This window comes from Homo sapiens, chromosome 2 (genome assembly GCF_000001405.40).
Source record: "Homo sapiens chromosome 2, GRCh38.p14 Primary Assembly".
Lineage (NCBI taxonomy): Eukaryota > Metazoa > Chordata > Mammalia > Primates > Hominidae > Homo > Homo sapiens.
The window spans coordinates 149373086-149393344 of NC_000002.12; the positions used below are offsets into that span (position 1 = coordinate 149373086).

A 20259-nucleotide genomic window follows, 5' to 3' on the forward strand; every position below is an offset into this window, starting at 1 on the left:
ATGCTGTGGTCAGCAAGAGAGAGCAGGCCCTTGATTAGAGGGCAGGCAAGGGGCTTTGTGGGGTGCAGGAGAAGGTGTTGAGGGTGACTCCCAGGAGTCCTATAGGAGCAGTTGTGTGGAGGGAAGGGCCAGTGCCTGGAGATCAAGAATTCAGCTGCAGGCAAGTTTAGTTTCTAATGCCAGTGAGCCACCGTTGAAGATGACAAGTAGGTAATTAAGTAGATGAGTCTGGAGTCAGAAAATCAGTCTGAGCTGAAGTTATAAATTTGGGAGTTGCTGGCATGGTATTTAAAGCAATGAGAATGCATGAAATCACTTTGGGAGAGAGCATAGAGTAGGAAGGAAAGGGGTTCCAGGACTGTGTCCTGAGAAATTGCCACATTTAGAGGTCAGGTAGGGGAGGAGTCAGAATAGGAGGCTGAAAAGGGATGAAAGGGGAGTACAAGGACAGCAAGGAGACCGAGCTGTCCTCGTGTCCAAGGGAAGAATATTACAAGAAGTGGAGAGTGGTGAACTGTGGTGAGTGTTGTTGAGGAGTCAAGTAAGTGGAGGACTGAAATCCTCACTTGGATTTCATAGCATGGAGGCCATTGGTCATCTCAGCAAGATTGGCTTATTTGGAGGTGTGCTGGTAGAAGCCACACGGTAGTGAAACAAAGCTGTATGTGTTTTTCTTGCAGGTTATTTGTTGCTTTAGTCATGTATTCAAAATATCAATCCTTCATGTAACATTTAATTGTATAAGCTTAATTCTATTATGTAATGTAAAGAGATTAATTGGAATCTAGTTTCTTTAGCTATTTTAGTGAAAGACATTGAAGATAGAAAGTTGCTGTGGGAAACTATTTTTGTGGCTTTATATTTACTCAGTTGGATTTTTAAAGAGGTCATTTTATGGTCCATTCCTGCCCCCATGCAGGAATGAACTGCATGATAATTGATTCATATTGCTTTAAAGGGCAAAGTATTGAGGGAACTTCTTGGGAAATTTAGATTTTGTCTAGCTGATCCTGAGGCTAAGTATCCTTGGAGGCTAAATGGCCAGCATCTTTTCTTAAACTTATGGAAATCTCAATAATGGAAAGAAACCAGGGCAGGGAAGGCTCACATCACTTTATTTCAGAAGTCAAGCATATGGTTTTGTTGACTAAAATACATAGACTGAGAAAAAAGAAAAACAAAGGAAAAAAGTCTCAATTATGTTCAGGTCTGGAGTTTAGGAAGTGTTTTGTGAATACGATGCATCTTATGGCTTTGTATTTGATGTCAACTCAATGTTTAGTCGAGGTTGAAAAGTAGAGTAGATGTGTGACTTTCCTACTTCCTGTGACACAGTGACATCTAGCCCTGGATCCTGGTGCTCCATGATATTGGGAATGAAGGCAACAATTTGAGTATTATCTAGATAGAGCCCAGCAAGTAGTAGGTGCCCGAGTGATATTGTGTTGAATAAAGTTACACTGAAGGGAAGTCTGTCCCTGACAATCTCCCTTCTCTTGTTTGCTGAGTCTTAGGCTCTTAAGAGAAATGATCTATATTAATTTTCTCCTTATTCTTGCATTTAGGAGGTTCTCCTGAGAATCGGAAAGTCCAGTCTATAGTAAGTTTCCCTCTGCTGGTGTCAACAGGGAGGGTTAACATCCTGCTTCACAGGAAGGTAGCACATGTTAGGCTTTTACTATACATGGTTAATATTTTCAGGATGAAATTTGATTTTACAGCATAGTCATATTTATGCAATATGATATTATAATACAATTATGAGGAAAAATAGTGGTTTTGTTTTGTTTTGCATGCAAGGAAATGTGCTGGGATGACCAGGAAAGAAAGCAGTGAAGGAAACAACTTCACTCCCACTATTTGTGGAGCTTGTTTGGTTCTGGCAGGAAGTCAGGGTTTCAGAGGAGATGGGATGTTCAGTTTGGTCCAGGTGATCTTCAGTCTTCAAGGATCTAGAGAGACTTGGGGGTTGTCCATGATTCATCAGAAGAGCTGTTTCACAGACCTCAGGGTTTGTTAAGGGTTAGAATCACAGTGCCTTCGTAAATTTTTCTTAGATGGAGGTGAAGGTATGAGTAGATTTATTCTGAAGGTAGACAAACCAGGATTTACCTTGATTTCTTGAGTATTTTTCATCAGCGTAAATGAACCCAATAAGTAAGTGCCCGTGGGTGGCACTGTGATTTTTGATATACAGTTGGTATCAAACTAATTGTAATGGGTCTTGGCGAGATGAAGTCATGGACTGTGGGAGGTAGGTGGGGTGTGAGTGGGGAACACTTGAGTGAGAGGTTTCTTTTCCTCTGAAGGAATGATGATGATGATAATCATGCCTACTGTTTATTGAATGGGCACTGATGTGGTCCTGCCCTCTGTATTGGCATGACGAAAATAAAGCTCAGCAAGTTCTTATGTGTTCTTTGACCCTGAAATCCCAGTGGTCTAAAAATAGATTTAGAAAATACCTTTCCTAAAGAGAATCAGAAAAATGTTTGGGGTTCTCCCAACATTTTCTCTTTGTATATTCTTGTTTCTCTGTTTATTCTACCATGCTTTTTTGTGGGCCCATTGCTATAACTGTTACCATGACATTTGAAATTCCCAAGTGCTATAAAGAGACAGTGTTGTTATTATTGCTGTTTGTTATTTTTTATTATTGCTGTGATTGCAGGGAGGCAAGGAACTGGGTTTGACAGGTGGAAGGGGGAATTCCAACAAGAGTACGTCTGGGATGATGGGAAGCTGAGGACTGGGATACTGAGAGAGTTAGACAGGATGTGACTAACGAGAACAATGCCATCAATATGCAAAGCATACAGAATTGCGAATCTGATTCCAAAAATGCTACCACTGCAAAATTACAATAGCAGCGTTTTCTTAGTGCATAAGCCAAGTGTTATTTTAGCCTGAGAGAAGGCAGCTGAACTGGAGATAGTGAACGCACCTAAACAAATGTGGCCTGGGATGAAGCTGCAAAAACACAAAAGGGCTGCATGCTGGCATGGAAACCGCCTCAGAGCTGAAACAACAGAAGCTGAAGTTGAGCAGTGTCAGCCCGGGATGTGTGGTTTGCCCTGGGTCTGTTTTGGAGGCCTTGGGAAAACAGCCCTACAGATAAATTCTCCAGATTTGCGGTCTAAAACTGGTACAAAAGAAACAGCTCTGTCTAACTTGGCAAGATTGAAGAGCTTTCTGGTGGTTAACTTGCACTGTGCATATCTATTTGTATGCCCTGCATTTCATCTGAATACTATTAAAATAAATGGAATTAGAAGTCCCTCACCCACGCCATTCTGAGCCCAGAACATTTTTTTTTTCCATTGCCTTCTTAACTCTGCTCAGTAGGGGGGTCTTCCTAGTTTGGAAAAACCACTGCTTGGATGTTCTAGAGGAGGGGATAAAGAACAAGGTCAGATAAACCTAATCTCCTAATCTCCCATCTGTAAAATACTACTAATAATAACTACTTCATAGGGTTGTTGTGAGAATTAAATGCAATTAATAATATTGCAATTTAATATAAAATTCATTATCATTAGATGCCATACATGTGTAGAAGATCTAATAAAAATATATTACTGGGTACTCATTGTGTCTTACCCACTGTTTCACTGTCTTTATATACAATTTCTTATCTGGGATAAGCAACTTAATCCAGGGACGCATGTAAAGCTTATAAAGTGTAGAAAGATTTGAAATCCTCAGAACTGCTGGTAAAGCTCACATGTAACCATTGCTACTGTTCCCTAATTTGGAATCTGGCATTTTGTAGGTGCAGTACTGACTAAATTCATTTAATTAAATATGGAGCAATCCAAAGCTCCCATGTTCTTTTCTCCTGGTTTTATATAAACTGTCTACAGTGCAGTCACCAAACCTTTGCATCTCCTTTGTCACTGGGATCAGGAGATAGCATAAAATCAGACTTCTGCTGTATATGGTTATACATATATGAGCCATCTCACTATAGGGCTCCACTGTCTTAACCAGGGTCTGGACTATTGCTGCTAAGAAAACTGATGACCCCTGGTTTAGAACTTTGTCTAACAACAAATGACTTTGAATAGGCAAGTGGTTTTTTGTGGTGAAGTAGATGACTCTTTTCTTTCTTTTTTCCTTTTTTTTTTTTCTTGGAAACATGCGGAGTGATGTTGTCTGTCAGGTCTGCTGGCAGGTTCTGTTGCAAGGAGACTATGCAGGAATCTGCCTGCTTGGCTTAATCACTGGAAAAAAAAAAACACAACTGCCAAGCAAGTCCCAGGTTGAAGTGGGCACCGCACACAGGAGCTGCTTTATCAGACTTAAAGGGATGCTGCGAGAGGCAGGAGCACTTCTCCCAGATGTAGGCTCTAACCTTGAAGGAACAGTGGCTCTCACAGGCCCGGTAATAATGTGAGCATAAAAAAGCAAAGTGGCTGGGTGCGGTGGCTCATACCTGTAATCCCAGTATTTGGGAGGCCAAGGTGGGTGAATCACCTGAGGTCAGGAGTTTGAGACCAGCCTGGGCAACACGGTGAAACCCCGCCTCTACTACAAATACAAAAGTTAGCCCGGTGTGGTGGCACACACCTATAGTTCCAGCTACTCGGGAGGCTGAGACAGGAGAATTGCTTGATTCTGGGAGGCGGAGGTTGCAGTGAGCTGAGATCACACCACTGCACTCCAGCCTGGACGACAGAGCGAGACTTTGTCCCCACCCCCCCCCCCACCCCCCCAAAAAAGCAAGGGAAACTGTTAGGGCACCTCTGATCCTTCCAGTGTCTGTATCTGTGTTTGCTGGCTTTATCATTACTCTTGCCCTGGAGCCTCCTGCAGGCCTCATGTGTATTCATCGCAAATATACCATCTCCAATGTGCCTGGCATGAGGTCAGGCCCTGGGGATCCAGTAATGAGACATAGTTCCTATCTATATATTGTCTCTTCCTTTTTCTATGCACCCCCTAAAGCTGGAGATGCTGTTTTACCTATTCTTCAAAAGACTTTCCTAGCTATGTGTAACTCATAGTAATAATCAAGGGAGTATCTATGATTAATAATATATATATTTTGAGACAGGGTTTCACTCTGTCACCCAGGCTGGAATGTAGTAGCACAATCACAGCTCCTTGCAGCCTCAACCTTCCCTGGCTTAGGTGATCCTCCCACCTCAGCCTCCTGAGTAGCTAGGATTACAGGTGCCTGCCACCACGCCCAGCTAATTTTTGTATTTTTTATAGAGACAGAATTTCGCCATGTTGCCCAGGCTGGTTTCGAACTCCTTGGCTCAAGCTGTCCACCTGCCCTGGCCTCCCAAAGTGCTAGGATTACAGGCATGAGACATTGGGCTTGGCCCGATTAAACTTTTTAAGAGGACTTGTCCCATCATTTCATGTTAATTCTCCTGTTTTTAAGTAGTCAGTTTAGTAGCAATATTTTAACTTATTCTAATACTCATTAATTTATTAACAAATATTTTTGGATGTCTCTTATCTGTAAGGTGCTATGTGGTTCATGTTTTTGATGAGTGATTATTTTCGTTTGTACAGATCGTTTAAATGAGAGTTTGCAGAAGATGAAAGGGGAGTCTTGCATTCAGCAATTTGCCCTGTATTTAATGAGCCAGCCACCTTGTGTCTTCCCCTCCTATGACATAGCCCTTCAGCTCACCCTACAATTGCCACATGAAAACTTCTCTCATGAAACCCACAGGGTCAGTATCTCTCAAATACTCTTTTTCCTCCACTTCTGGGGCATGATCTTGCAATGTACTCCTTACTGCCCCATCCTGGAAACTTGTGCCTATATCCTTGTTTTCTATACAGTGTTTAGCCAAGGTCCTTGACCGGAATATAGATCACAAAAAGTACTGGTTGTCAAATGTCAAAGTAACTGACATTTAACAGAGAGATTATATTTGAGGATGCCAAGAATTAGCAAACATTTTTTTCTGATCATCTCAGGCTATTTGAAGAAGTTATGAATTCACCGAATTGACTGAAACCTGCCCTCTGAATAATTCTTCAGCACTATATAAACCAAAGTTTGTGTTGGTTCAAGCAGGCAGGAGGGCTGTGCATCTGTGGTATGGGAGCCCCCTCAACTAGAGGCTAGAAAAAAACAGCATTTATGCTGCAGCTGGTTTTGGTATCAGATGAGCAGCTTTAAATTGGGAGTTAGGAGAACTGGAAGACTTGAGTCCAAGAGGAAGGTAGTTGAAGCAGAGATGGCTCAGAAACCACTAGGATCTGTGCATCAACACCTGCCTCAGGTCTTTATGGACATAACTGCTAAACCTTTGGAAGCCTGAGGTTTACAAACCACTTACCTTAAATGTTTACGCTTAAATTTTAAGAAAAAAATTTTAAAAGTTTACCAAAGGATGCTCAATTCCTGGAATAGAATAGACCTTCATTTTACAATTGATATTTGGAAAAAATTCTGGGTTAGTTCCTATTAGATTCAATGAAAATCAGCAGTGGAAGAATTTATTCTCATGATCGTGATTGAACTTACCTTGGGTGGGTGCTTCAGTTCTGTGTCTTTGTGTCAGGAAAGGCTGTGGGCTGGAAAGAGCCCTGAGCTCAGCTGTGTCTCATGTCAGCCATGCTCCTTCAGAACCACAGAATAAGGCAAGGACTAGACATCTGAAATCATTCACAGCTAATAGCTGTAATTCCATCATTTAGTTCATTAATTCAACAAATGTTTATCAAGCATCACCTACTAAGTGCCAGGCATCTTCCTAAGTGCTAGTTTACAGCAGTGAACAAACAGAATCCCTACCCTTGAGAAGCTTCAATCTGCAGCATGGGTGAAACTGACAGTGAGCAAGATAAATCAGTAAACAACAGTAGATATCAGAAGGTGAGAGAGAAGTACTGTAGAGAACTCCCTCGAAACAGAGCAGAGGAACGGGAAGGATTTGCAGTTTTCGATAAGGAAAGCTTCCCTGAGAAGGTGACCTTGAATAAAAACTAGATGGAGGTAAGGAGGCAAATGCCACAGGTATCTGGGGGAATCTTCCTGACAGAGGAAAGAGCACATGCAGATGCCCTGAGGCAGGAGCTAGTTGGCAAGTGTGAGAAATAGCAAGCGGTGGAATGATCCTGAATAGGAGATAAGGTCAGAAATGGGGAGCGGGGGCAGCTCTTGATTATATAGTGTCTTGAAGGACTTTGTTATACCTCTGGATTTTACTGAGTGAGGAAGAAAGCCACAGGGGCGTTCTAAGCAGAGCGAAGATAAGACATAACTTATCTTTTAAAAGAATCACTCTACATGACATGCTAAGAAGAGGCTATAGAGGCAAAGCAGGGAGCCCAGGTGGGAGGCTTATGCGACATTCCAGACAAGAATTGATGGAGGTGGTAAAGGGGCGATCCATTTGAAAGGTTTGCATATGGTAAGTTGTGAGTGTGGGACAAAGTGTAGAGTCAAGGATAGTCCAAGCATTTTGGCCTGAACAGCTAGAAACATGGGAGTGGCCATTAACTCAGGCAGGGTACTCTGTGACCATAGCAGATGTTTGGAGACTGACCAGTTATTCTGTTTTGGACATTGAAAGTTTTATAAGGGCATGAGACCTCCAGGAGAAAACGTTGGGTAAACAGTTGGATACAGAAGTATGCAACTCAATGAAGACATCTGGGATAAAAATATATAGTTGAGAGACATGAGCATACGGATGGTATTTAAAGCCATCAGCCTGGATGAGCACACCAAGGTATGAGTGAGAAAGAAGTTATTGAATGAAGGGTTTAAGGACTGACCTTTGGGGTACTCAATTTTGAGTCTGGGACACAGGGAAATAGCAAAGGAAGGTGAGAAAAAGCAACCATTAAAAGAGAAGGAAAGCCAACCCAGAGAAGAGTCCCAGAAGCCAACTGAAGAAGAGGATATGAAGAAGATGTGATCTGCTGGGTCAAATGCTGTAAATAAGATGACAACTGAGAACTGAGCAGTATATTGAGCACCGTGGACATCATTGGTGGCCTTGAGGAGAATTGTTTGGGTGGTGTGGTGGGGCAGATGGTTTTTGGAGGGAGTTGACAACAAAATGGAAGAAGAGGAACTGGAGACAAGTGTAAAGACTCTTGAAGAGTTTTACTGCAAAAGGAAGAGAAGAATAGTCTGGTACCTTATAGGGGAACTTCAGTCAGGAGGATTCTGTTTTGTTGTTTGGTTTGGTTTTTGCCTTTAGAGGGGTGAAACAACAGTATGAAGGTTTATTGCTGGTACTGATGTAGTAGAGAGCAAAAAGTTAAGATACGGAGGGGAGAATTGCTATTGGGTTGCTGAGTAGGGAGGAAGAGATGGGGTCTGTTGACGAGGTGGCCCTGTTTTAGGAATATAGTTCATCCTCTGTAACAGGAGGTAGGCAGAGTGTATGGGCAAGATTCTCACAGGTAGAGAGAGGTGGTGGTGAGACCATGTGCCAGTTCTTTTCTGATTGCTTCAGATTTTTTAGTGAAGTCAGAAAACAGGTCACCAACAAAGAGTGATGCTTGGGTAGAAAATGATAGAAATTTGAAGATAGAGAAGGAAGATAGAACATTGTCATCAAAGAGAGTGAGAGCACGAGTGGACTAATGTCTAATACTGCAGACTAAATTTTAATGGTAACAGTAGATTTTTATTAACCTACATTTGTCAATGCTTTTCCATTTACCAAGTGCTTTCTCATATGTTGGTTGCCCCAACAACCCTGTGAAGTTGGCAGAGAGTTGGGTGTTCTAAAATCACACAGCTTGAAGTCAAAGTGTGGATCTCAAATCCAGGTCATCTGAATTGCAGTATAGAATTCTTTCCTTCTGTTAATATTCTCTTTTTAAATGACTGTTAATTCGTGATGATTTCCAGGTCTGAATGTACTCATAGGATCTCTTTTTTCCCCTTATGTGTTTTATTGCTCTGAATAGTCCTAGAGAGAAAAGATCAGATTAAGTATTTTTTGTTCATTACTATGAAATGTTGAGTTTCACCATTTTTCAGTTATAGTCCAGTGTATAGCAAGTTTTAATGGGGACAAAGTCCTTGCAGAGCTTAAAAATGAAACCTTCTTAATAGGAAAAACATAACCTTGTTAATGGAAGTTTTGGTTGCTTTCCAGCCCAAAAATACATTTTTAGAAATATATTAATTAACACTAGAAGTTATAATTTCCTTAAGTGCAAAGTATTATCATAAATAAGGTTGAGGAATATGGAATTGCTCTTCTTACCTTGCAGTCACATCTCATACAATGCTAATTGTGCCATACGCATAAGTAATATTGGGTTAAAATATCTCTCATGTTCCCTTAGAGATGATTAGAATTTTTAGGTGGAAATATTTTCCTATTGTATTAGAAGTCATTTAATCAGTCTTAATTCATACATCTCCTCAAAATGCCTACTCTTAAAATCAACTCTTTGGCATACTCCGCCATCTGAATATTTGCTCATTTCTTTCCACCTTTTTTCAGACTTGATTCTGTGGCCCTATATCATGTTTGTGAACCTCATGTTGACGTCAGTCAGCATTTCAGTTCAGTATTACTCTCTATACCATAAATCACTGGAGTTTCTAAGTCTCTCATTAGCTTGATTCAAATCTTACATAAGATTTAGTTAGTGTCAGAACAATTCAACTGTGCACAAATTCTGGTCAAACAAAAACTATAAGAATTGAGATCATTTTAGAACATCTGTAGAAAAGTAGTAGATTTGATAGCCTATTATAATTCTGTTAGCTCATTAATATAACAAATTTATGAAAATATTGTGGACTCTTTTCTAGAATTCTTTAAGATAGATTAAGTTTTCTTATAGTACTTCACATATGGTTTTGCCTGGATAAAAGGCAATATATCTAGAATCTTTGATCTCTTACAATACTCTCCAAGGAAAATGGTCAGAATAAAAATTTCAAATGTCAATATCTGGTCTATAAAAAATTCTAATAAGTGCTTTTTAAATAAAACATTTCAATAGGGTATTTTTATTGTGGTGAAATATATATTGCATAAAATTTACAATTTTAACTAAAGTGTGTAATTCAGTGGCATTAATTAATTCAGTGTTTTGCAACTATCACCACTATTTCCAAAACCTTTTCATTACCTAAACTTAATAAGTGCTTTTGAAATTACAGGAAAATATTAAAACTTTTCTATGCCGGTTGACTAACCCTGAATAATGCCTTGAGTTTTAATAGGTCAGTAAAAATGTTTTGGGTCAAAAACAGAGTGTTCATTTTGTAATATTTTTGTTTCTTACTAGGATAAACTTAACCACATCTTTTGGCTCATTGATTATTGTTAAAATTCAGTTTTTTTGGGGGGTAGGGTGATTGCTTTTGTGAGCCTTCTTTTAATCCTTTTTATCAGAGTATCACAAAATTAAACTCAACATCTGTTTAACATCAGAGAGATTTGATGATCATGTGCGTTGCCACATGTACAGTCCAAAGATGAAACTCAGTTCAGTTTAAAGAGACTCCAAAAACAGATGACTAAAGGAAACAGTACTTGGAAATGGGAGTGAGAGAAACATTCATCTTACTGAGTCATTATGGGTCAAAGCCTTCCATGTACTGTGTAAAAACCATAGAAAGAACCAGTTTGGTAAATTCCAATGAAGTGATCATACATTGAGCACATTTATAACTTTTCAATTTAAAGCATTGGTCCATTTGCTTTTGGATAATAGTGGGGATGATTTCCTAGTAACTGATGATATGTACTAGTAAGTAATAAAACTGAGTTTCCCTACATATGGTGTGTTTGTTATAACCTACACCTCTTTCTTCACCTATAAAACACATATTTGCCCCTAAGGATCTAAATTAAATACTTTGTTTTGTGAAGTCTTCCTCAACTCCCATAGACAGTCAATCAGTCTTCCTTTGGTGTTAATAATATGCTATAAGAAATACATATTATAGCAAACATCACATTAAATTCCTGTTTTTTCTACACTGTGAGCTGCTCAAGGGTAGAGGCTATCTTTTATTCCTGCTTATATTCTCAGTATAGTTCATGTTCCATAGTAGAATCCCATTAAATATTTGTTGACTCACTATTTGAATGGATGAACTGATCAATGTAAGCATCCATACTGGAGTCTTCATTTTTTAACAGCATCTCAATTATAAGATGTTCATATTTTATTTACTAAGGCAATTAGCAAAATATATATAGGGTTCAGTCGTATGCATTGAGGCAGCAGACATTTCCATTTATGACATAAGCTGAAGGCAAAGTATTCTTATCACAAACTCCTGGGCATTTGTCAGTGCCTGTAGAAAACTCAAATGACATCTGCAATAGAAATACCTGGATGTCTGTGTTTGTTGGTTGTGGGGTTTGAGAAGGCATTACAGGGGGATGTGTCTCCTCCAAGTTGCCTATGCTAGACTGTGATATCTCCATCATCTGCTTTGTTCCTGGGCAAAGGCTCAGCACTGGCCCCAGTCATGGGCACTGGTTGGGGGAACATTCCATTTGACATGGCGCCTACCACAGAGGTGTGCTCGTGTTGGCACTATAGCTGTTAACAGTACCACAGAGGTAATAGCACAGAGGGAATAGCCTGACCCAAGGTGTCACCATGCATCTCTGTGACTAGACAGTGGGACTTCCCTTACTCCTCTCCAGGCTCTGTTTTTAAATTTTTTTTATTTTTTTATTTTATTATTATTATACTTTAAGTTTTAGGGTACATGTGCACAGTGTGCAGGTTAGTTACATATGTATACATGTGCCATGCTGGTGTGCTGCACCCATTAACTCGTCATTTAGCATTAGGTATATCTCCTAAAACTATCCCTTCCCCCTCCCCCCACCCCACAACAGTCCCCAGAGTGTGATGTTCCCCTTCCTGTGTCCATGTGTTCTCATTGTTCAATTCCCACCTGTGAGTGAGAACATGTGGTGTCTGGTTTTTTGTCCTTGCGATAGTTTACTGAGAATGATGATTTCCAATTTCATCTGTTTATGGATGTAGATGGCATTTCTCTACCTTCAGTAGCTTCGTGGGACCATCCTTTCATTTCCTCTCCTTTCATTTTATCTCTCTTCCCTTTGTTTCCCTTCTGATTCCTCCTTTGCCCTGAAGGAAAGTTATGAAGCTCTAGGTGGCAGAGTGCAAATGGGTAAAGATGGGGTGTTCATTAGCGCCTGATGTATTCACTGTGTGTAAACCCAGCCTACCCATCTCAGAGACCACCTTTGCCTGAAATCCTCTATTTAACATGTGGCATTCAGAGCAGAAGCGTCTGAAAGGCACATTTCTTCCACTAAACCTCCAAGAGGACAAACCCAGCAAGGACATAGTGGATTTATCTGAGTTTAATGGTATTAGCCTGAGACCAGCCATGATGTGCCAAAGACATTGGCAATTTGGAAAACTACCAACAGAGTCCTAATGTCAGTCATGTCTGTATAGGGCTACCTTGGTGACTTTTTTGCTAAAATTCAGGGACTTAGCTGGTCTCCTCAGCCAGGCAGTTGGAGTGATTTATTTTCTGGGACTGAAATGACCAGTGGATTCAGTGAAAGCAATTAGACTGACTTTGTATAGATACTGGAATTTTCCTTTCCCATGATTAACAAACAGAGTAATTAAGCCTCGTTTGTTTGTGCTCATTCTGGAACAGAACAGCTATGGCAAAGGGGGAGGGGAAAGGGGTTGACTTTTCTCTGGCACTGGAAATCAAAATGCACATTTGTCTTTGTGTATACAGAAAGAGAGGGAAAAAGAGAACAAGAGGGGCAGAGAAGGAGAGAGGCAGAGAAGAAGTGAGGCAGAGAACAGAAATTACCTGCTTTAGAGAGTGGAGTGGGGTTGGGACTCCCTTTCCAGGGGTTGGAAGATTAAGGCAGCACTTGGGTCTGGAACACTGCTACTGTTCCCCAGGTATGGTTAAATAGATACATCTTGGCAACAGATTCAGAATCCCCCCCCAAGACCTGTAATTAACCGTTACAATTGCCTATGTTTTCCAAAATGAAAATTTCCTTAAAACTTAATCCACATATTTTAACCTTTTAAATCTTTTGTAAAGAGATAAATAGCATGTGGGGGAAGTTACCCCTTCTTGAAGAATGACGATTAACCTGAACTCAGCTATAATTATAAGGAAAGGAGAATCTTTAGAAAAGCAATGGCAGGGTACTAGGTTTTATATCCTGTTGTACCTAGATTTAGAGTATTTTGGTTTCCATTACAGCTGCCTGAGCATTTCTTCCTCTGTGTAAGATGATTTTTAGATTTCTCATTCACCACATGCTTTAAATTTTAATAACGTTATAGACATGGAAGGTCCTGATTTTCTGCCTCTTACCAGTCTCATCCTCTTACCTCAGCTGCTAGAAACTGTTCTCTCCACAGTAAGCCTGTTTGCATCCTAAAGCCTTCAGCAGTGAGGGTGGAAATGGGTTCTTGAATATCAGGCTCAGAGTGGGGACCTGTGACCTGCTTTCCAGATGGAAACCATGAGAGCCGTGCATGTAGACATATTCCCAATTGCTGAAAACAAAGAGGTGGTAAGCACAGGATGGTGCTGGTGGCGAAGAACCATGTCTTCTCATTTAACAAAGACTATTCAGAAAATAGACATTTTAGAACAAATCTGAATGCTAATAGAATTTCTGAAAAGGGAGAGAATGGATATAAAGTATACTGTAATCAACACTGGGAAGTTCTGGTAGACCAAAATGAATGTACAGTTTCTGTGTGGCAGCCTGCAGCCAAGCCAGATGGCTGACAGTGGGCCTTACCTTCACTACCTCTTGAGTATAGACAATGAAAAAAATTGAGAACATGGAAAGAGTTTTATCAAGACTTGGAAGATCTTTAAATCATCCTTGCATGTAGTGCACAATCATGGCTCACACACCAGCTATCTTGCTTCCCAGTTATGAAAATGGAGCACTCTGTCCCCACCCCCAACATGACCCACAGGAATCTGTGTCTCCTGGAAAGGCTGGGGACTGCAGTGGCCATTGAGACCAAGTGGAAAAAAAATCTCAGTGCACCCAGCAGGCCACTTCTCTCTAGCAATATCAAAGTGTGCTGTTTAGGAAAGCCAGCCTCTTCCTTAGTTTGAGATCCTCTATTTTTATATAATATTAACTCTCATTTCAATGTGAACATCTGAACAAAAAGTTTTTTCCAAATGAATAGAGCCAAGGGGAGATATTGTATTGAGTGTGGACAGCAGAATGAGAAAGAAAATGTTTTAGTACTTCTAGTTCCATTTAGTCTTCTTGATACTTTTCTCTTAGGCCAAACCACTTTGAGTAACAGAGGTCCTTGGCTAAGTTCCAGGTGGAAAGAAGCAAACTGGCATTCAGTTCCATTCTCTTTCTCATCTTGCCCTTTTTTGAGGTAGCACTGACTGGTATGTTAATTTCACTGGTTCATTTTTCATTTAATAAATATGTACCTAAGATTTACTTCATGGGAAGTGCTGTGTTAGATGCTAGTGATGCAAAGATTAAAAAGACAGGTTGCAGCCTGGAGTGACTCCTTTGGGTGGAATTAAGGAAGCATCAAGGAATTTAGCAACTCAGTGGGAAAGGATTGGGGTGGAGTTCTAGAGGGGGAATCTGCTTGAGCTGAGATAGGGCAGACAATGAGCACGAGGTGCTCCCAGCAAGGGGAATAGGTCAGACAAATGTGGGTGAGTGAGAGAATATAGAGGGAGCCATGAAGTAAATGATGAAATAAATGGAGAAGATGGGAACGTGTACTTTTATCAAGAGTTGGAGCATCTTCTCAATTGTCTTTGCATGTAGTGCATAAAACCAAGGCTCATCCATCAGTCACTCTTGGCCTATGGAAGGTGGGGTCTACATGAAATATGACCTTGGTGTTATACTAAGCAGTTTTGACTTCTAAGTATTTGGTAGGGAGCACTGAAGGATTTGCAGTTGGGACTTACATGTCCATATTTTCATTTTGGAAAATGTATTGTGACCCTCAGTTCTAAATGACCGAGCCTTACTTAAATCACCTTATGCCTAAAGGAAATTTTGAGTAAAGTTGAAATATTCTATGTCTTCTAAATAGTAACCTAAATTTCATTTAGATAATTAAATATGTGTAACTACCTTTCTTTCTCTCTCTCTCTCTTTTTTTTTTTTTTGGTCTAAGTTGGTCTACAGTGTCTGAAAGAGTTGAATGGATTTCTTTAGAAGCAGAGGAAGTGTACTTTGATACTGTTGGTGTGCCATGGATATACAAGGGCGCAGGGTTAGCCTGGGATGAATCATTCACATGAATTCAGAAACATTGCTATTAAATGAAAAAAATGTATTTATTATAGAGTAGAATGCAATTGGCATGTTTTAAAAACAAACATGAGGCATGAAGGAAGTTTCTACTTTGGGCTGAATCTCAAGCCCTTTTGGGTGGGTGCCTGCAGTGGGGTTGTCAAGAAGACTGAGAAGCACTGGGCTCTGTTGTTGAGCAAAGCCAAGCACAAGAAGGTCCTTATGCAAAGATGGTGTGTCAGGAGAACATGTCTGGGTGTTAGTTAATGCTTGTGGAACTCTCACAACTCCACTAGGGGGATGAGGAGCTGGGAAGGTGGGGGTTGTGGTGGGAGGGAGAGTCGTAATTCTTGTTTCAAGGCCTGGCTTCTTTTTTACAAGATGATTAGCTACATTTAGAAACCTATTCTTTACACATTCTTAATTTTGCTGGAGTTGGAATATCTTTTCCTCTTCTCTGTGTTGGTATTTTATGAGCAGATCAACTCAATCTGTTTTCAATAACATTCAAGTTAATAGTACTATGACTTAGATGAAAAGAAAATTAAAAGTTATCAACAGCTTGGTATACTTAACCCTTCCTAATGCTGGGCACATTGGCTCTCCTTTCCTGGATGGACTGAGAAAATTCTGGAAAGTAGTTGCCCAACAAAATAGGTTAGTACTGTACTGCACACTTTGTTCAGCTTTACTGTGGGCATTGTCAGATCAGGTTACAGCATAGGATTTAAAGGTCAATTATGCCATGACTTTAGGGGAAAGAAAGAGTGACTAGAAGGTTAAAAAAAACCCCTAAGTTTTGGCTTTTAAAGACTTATGAAATTGTATTCCCTTTGTGACATTTGATGAATCACTTTTCTTAATTTCCATTCTGATAATAATCTCCCTAACGTTTTCCTAGGAAGCTCTTTCATGGCAAAAATACTGTCCTGTAGATGCCCGAGAGAGTTGGGGCCAGTTATACAGGGTGGGGGAGAGTTGGGGTAGCTACTCCTGTCTCTCCGAGTTGATTTGATACTGCTTCCTTGAATTTACTGAAATTAAGACACCTGAAGAGATTAAAATTTTGTGGCATAAAAACAGTCACAGCTAGGCATGGAACTGGTTTCAGGGAGAATGACCAAGTTAGGCATTTAGAGGATGAGAACCAAATTACAGATATACGAAAATTAGAGAAGCCAAAATGACCCCATGCATTAATGAATGGCCTGAGGGAACATCTGTGGTTGTCTGCGTCTTAGCTTACAAACTGAATCCAGGGACGTTTTCATCACAATGCCTGCATCTGAATAGCATGGAAGGTCACCAGGATTAAGAGTTTTGACCTGTCAGCGCAATGGGGTTTAGGTTTGGTATCTTTATTTTTGGTCTGTAAGCTCTTTTGTTCAAGGCAAAGTTGATCTCTCCCTGAGCCAGGCCTTGAGTGGAGGTGGACTGGCTTCGTGTTTCTAATTAGTCAGACACTCCCCCTGCTCCTGACTACTGATGGATGTCATGTTAGTTCAGGACCCCAAGCCCTCTCTCTCTTTGAGCTGCAGTGCAGGGATCCACTTTAGTACTGAACTGTCATTTGTATGGTTAGCATGGTGGCCGGCTGTCTTGAGATTATGTTAGCAGACCCCCTCCCTATCCCTGGCTCTTGACCTTTTAGCATACAGCCTCTTGGCATTTTCCCAAATGGAATAATATATGTGTAAGCACATTGAACAGCATTATATGCTGTTTGCTAATCAGATGTGGTTGACTGTAATTATCTTGCATTCAGTTCCTTGTTGGTAGATATTCTGTACAGGTAGTTCATTCGTATTTTGGATCTTGATTAATTTTCACAGTGCCATATATTGACCTTGAAAGAAGTCTTGGTCAGTTTTGAAAATCTTTAACCATGCAATGGTTAGTCCTTCAGCCCCACCATTTACTTTGGCTGTCTGGCCTCTTACCTGAAGCATCTTATTACTTGATCTCTACTTCGAATGATCTCTTTTCCATCCTTTGGGAAGGACAGTGGCCCTTGTCCCTCAGGGGAGACCCTCCTACATGCTGTAGCTGTGAAGCTAAATGCTCACTGGTTCTTACTGGTTTAGGGGATATGGGGAGGCCTGGCTTGTCCTGGATCCCTATCTTCTACTCATGCAGTACTTCCTGTGGTTCCATTTAATTGTACATTTGTATGTTGGTCATTTCAACCTTGCTTAGTGGCCCTCTGTCCTACTTAGAGACAGCTAACTTTTTTGGCTTTCTGGAAAATTCCTTGAGATTTGTTGCAGCATTGCCCACTCCTCAGTCATGTAGGCCCTGCCTGTACTGCTTATCCTAGCTTACATTTTAAATCTCAGTACCTCAATTCTTATGATAGCCAATTCTATCTTAGTATTATGACTTCTTGATGTCCAGCAGAAAATATTGCAATCCATTAACACACAGAGTAGTGTAGACAGTTAATTGAATGGAAATATTACTAGATGTACTTTATAGATGATGAACAGATTATGACATTGTATAGATATAATTGGGTTCTTCCTTGGAGAGATTCATCAATAATAAAAACAACTTTTATTTATTGAGAACATATGCTGGATTGCATAATGCTCTAAATATTTCCTCTAACACTTTCAACCTGTATGGTGAGCATTGGTATCCCCATTTTATAGAGGAAGGACATGAGATGCTTGCCTGAGGTGGAATCAGTGTTATTGTGCCAGTATATCTGACTTCAAAGTCAGTTTTCCATTAGGCTGTGTGGCTATATATTCACAAAGAAGAATCCTAGTGGTGATAATTAGTGACCTACTATTGGCAGGAGAAGACACTAGCATTCTCTTGAATGTACACCATATTTGCTTGTCAACTGATTGATCCTTTTTTGTTATCTGCCAGACGCTGACATGGTCTTGAATTTTAAAGGTAAGTAAGACTCGGCTCTTACCTCAAACATTTCATAGTTGAGTGGGGGAACCACTTGTTTAATGTCACTGATTTTTTGGTCTGTTTTAGAAAGGTCATGAAACTACTACCTTTGAGCTTTTTCTTATTCCAACTCCCTTTTTTCCCCCCCGATAATGGAGAAAACTTCTTGCCCTAAAGAAACGCACCTTAAGGGATGGCATGGACTATTGTGGATCTTCATATGCTTGTGGGTTTTTTTTTTCTTTAAACTTATTTTGTTACTGGAGCTGTGTGATCTTTTCTTTGAGGTCAAATTCCACAAAAGGAGCTAAGATTGTATAATTATGTTTCACATCTATAGGGCCCCTCATGATCTATAAAATGCCTTCCATATACATTATTTGATTTGCTTCTAGAAGGGCAAATATTTGATCCCTGTTTCACAGTGGTACACTTAGGGGCCACTCAAGGGTATGTGATGAGCTGGACATGACCCTGAGTTCTCCCTGCCTGTGACATACCTCCCTTTCAATAAGAGGAAGAGGTGTTGCTGGCAGAAGCTTTCTGGAAGAATAGAAGGTGTATTAGAAGGAAATGTGGCTATGTGCATCCCTATTGGTGGGGAAATAGAAACTAATTGATGTACCTCACCAGGACAAATGGTTTGGCCAACTGGGGCCCAGAAACAAAGCAGGGGGAAGCCATAGAAGTCGGTGCCTGAATCAGCTAGGGCTGCCATAACGAAATACCACAGACTGGGTGGCTCATACAACAGACATTTATTTTCCCATAGTTCTGGAGGCCAAGAAGGCCAAGATCAAGGTGCCAGCCAATTTGGGTCTTGGTGAGGACCCACCTCCTGGCTTACAGACTTTTGCCTTCTAGTTGTGTCCTCCCATGGGGATGGGGTGGTTAGGGCAGACCAAGTTCCATGGTGCCCCTTCCTATATAGGGCACTAATCTCATCATGAGAGTCCTACTCTCCTGAACTCATCTAACCCTAATCACCTCCCAAAGGCACATCTCCAAATACCGTCACACTGGAGGTTAGGGCTTCACCATGAATTTTGTGGGGATACCATTCAGTACATAGCATAATGGTGGAGAGGTTAAAACATGTGGAGGAAGATCGCACTCCAGGATGGTCAGGGCAAGTGTGTGGGTGTTTAATTGTGGGCATAAAAGGCACAATCAACAAGGTTATAGAAAACAATGTCTCAGTGGTTTGTTTGGACTGCAAGTAAGAGGAAAGTGGGACTTGTGAATGCTTGGCATAACTCAGCTCTTCTCTCAACTCTTGGAAACTCACAGGGTAACCAGTCCCCCTGAGGACCAGGGAAGCTGTGACGGATGGGAGAGAGTGTTGTCCCCATTGCCATAAGCAGAATGCAGACGTGTTATTTATTTATTTTTGAGGCTATACGAATATCTGTTGTTTTGAAATATATTAGGTCCAAATTTGACCCCCTGGGAAAGTTTTCTGTCACTTGAGAGGATACTGCTTTATGTATGACCCCACTAGAAAGACTAATCCTTGGCTGGGCGCGGTGGCTCATGCCTGTGATCCCAGCACTTTGGGAGGCTGAGGCGGCCGGATCACAAGGTCCGGAGTTCAAGACCAGCCTGACCAATATGGTGAAACTCCGTCTCTTCTAAAAATACAAAAAAATTTAGCTGGGCCTGATGGTGAGTGCCTATAGTTCCAGCTACTTGGGAGGCTGAGGCAGGAGAATCACTTGAACTGGGAAGCAGAGGATGCAGTGAGCCAAGATCGTGCCACTGTGCTCCAGCCTGGGCGACAGAGCGAGACTCCATCTCACAAAGAAAGACCAATCTTTGTACTTTGGCCCAGGTGCATGGTGAAGTGTATGGTCTTGTGTTCTTTTGATATACTCACCTGATTGAGCAGAATCTCACACAAGTCTTCCCTTGCTTCCGAAGTTACAATGACTCAGTGACAGCTATAAAAGCCTTCTTTTCATGGTAATTATAATCAGACATCTGAATACATTTATGCATCTATAGCTTCTCAGTTTTACACGTAAATAGATGCCATCAGAAGTATTTTGAGGGCTGATTTAGCTCGAAGAGGGTCCATTTAAAACCTATTCTTGTGTTCCCATCATTTTCGGCAGCC

At 40.8% G+C, this 20259-nt stretch overlaps 1 protein-coding gene across 5 annotated transcripts in view; it reads left to right on the plus strand.

Moving 5' to 3' along the window:
* The window catches only part of LYPD6 (LY6/PLAUR domain containing 6), a 156394-nt gene that overhangs the window by 43101 nt on the left and 93034 nt on the right, over positions 1-20259 (plus strand). For 2 of the 5 annotated variants that reach the window (XM_024452699.2, XM_047443400.1), the window contains one exon: positions 5527-5690. The exons of 2 other annotated variants lie outside the window; for them this stretch is intronic. The gene's annotated coding sequence lies outside the window, so the exon portion shown is untranslated. Of the gene's footprint in view, positions 1-5312; positions 5691-20259 lie in introns of those variants that run through there. One more of the 5 variants, XM_024452701.2, reaches the window with a different exon arrangement.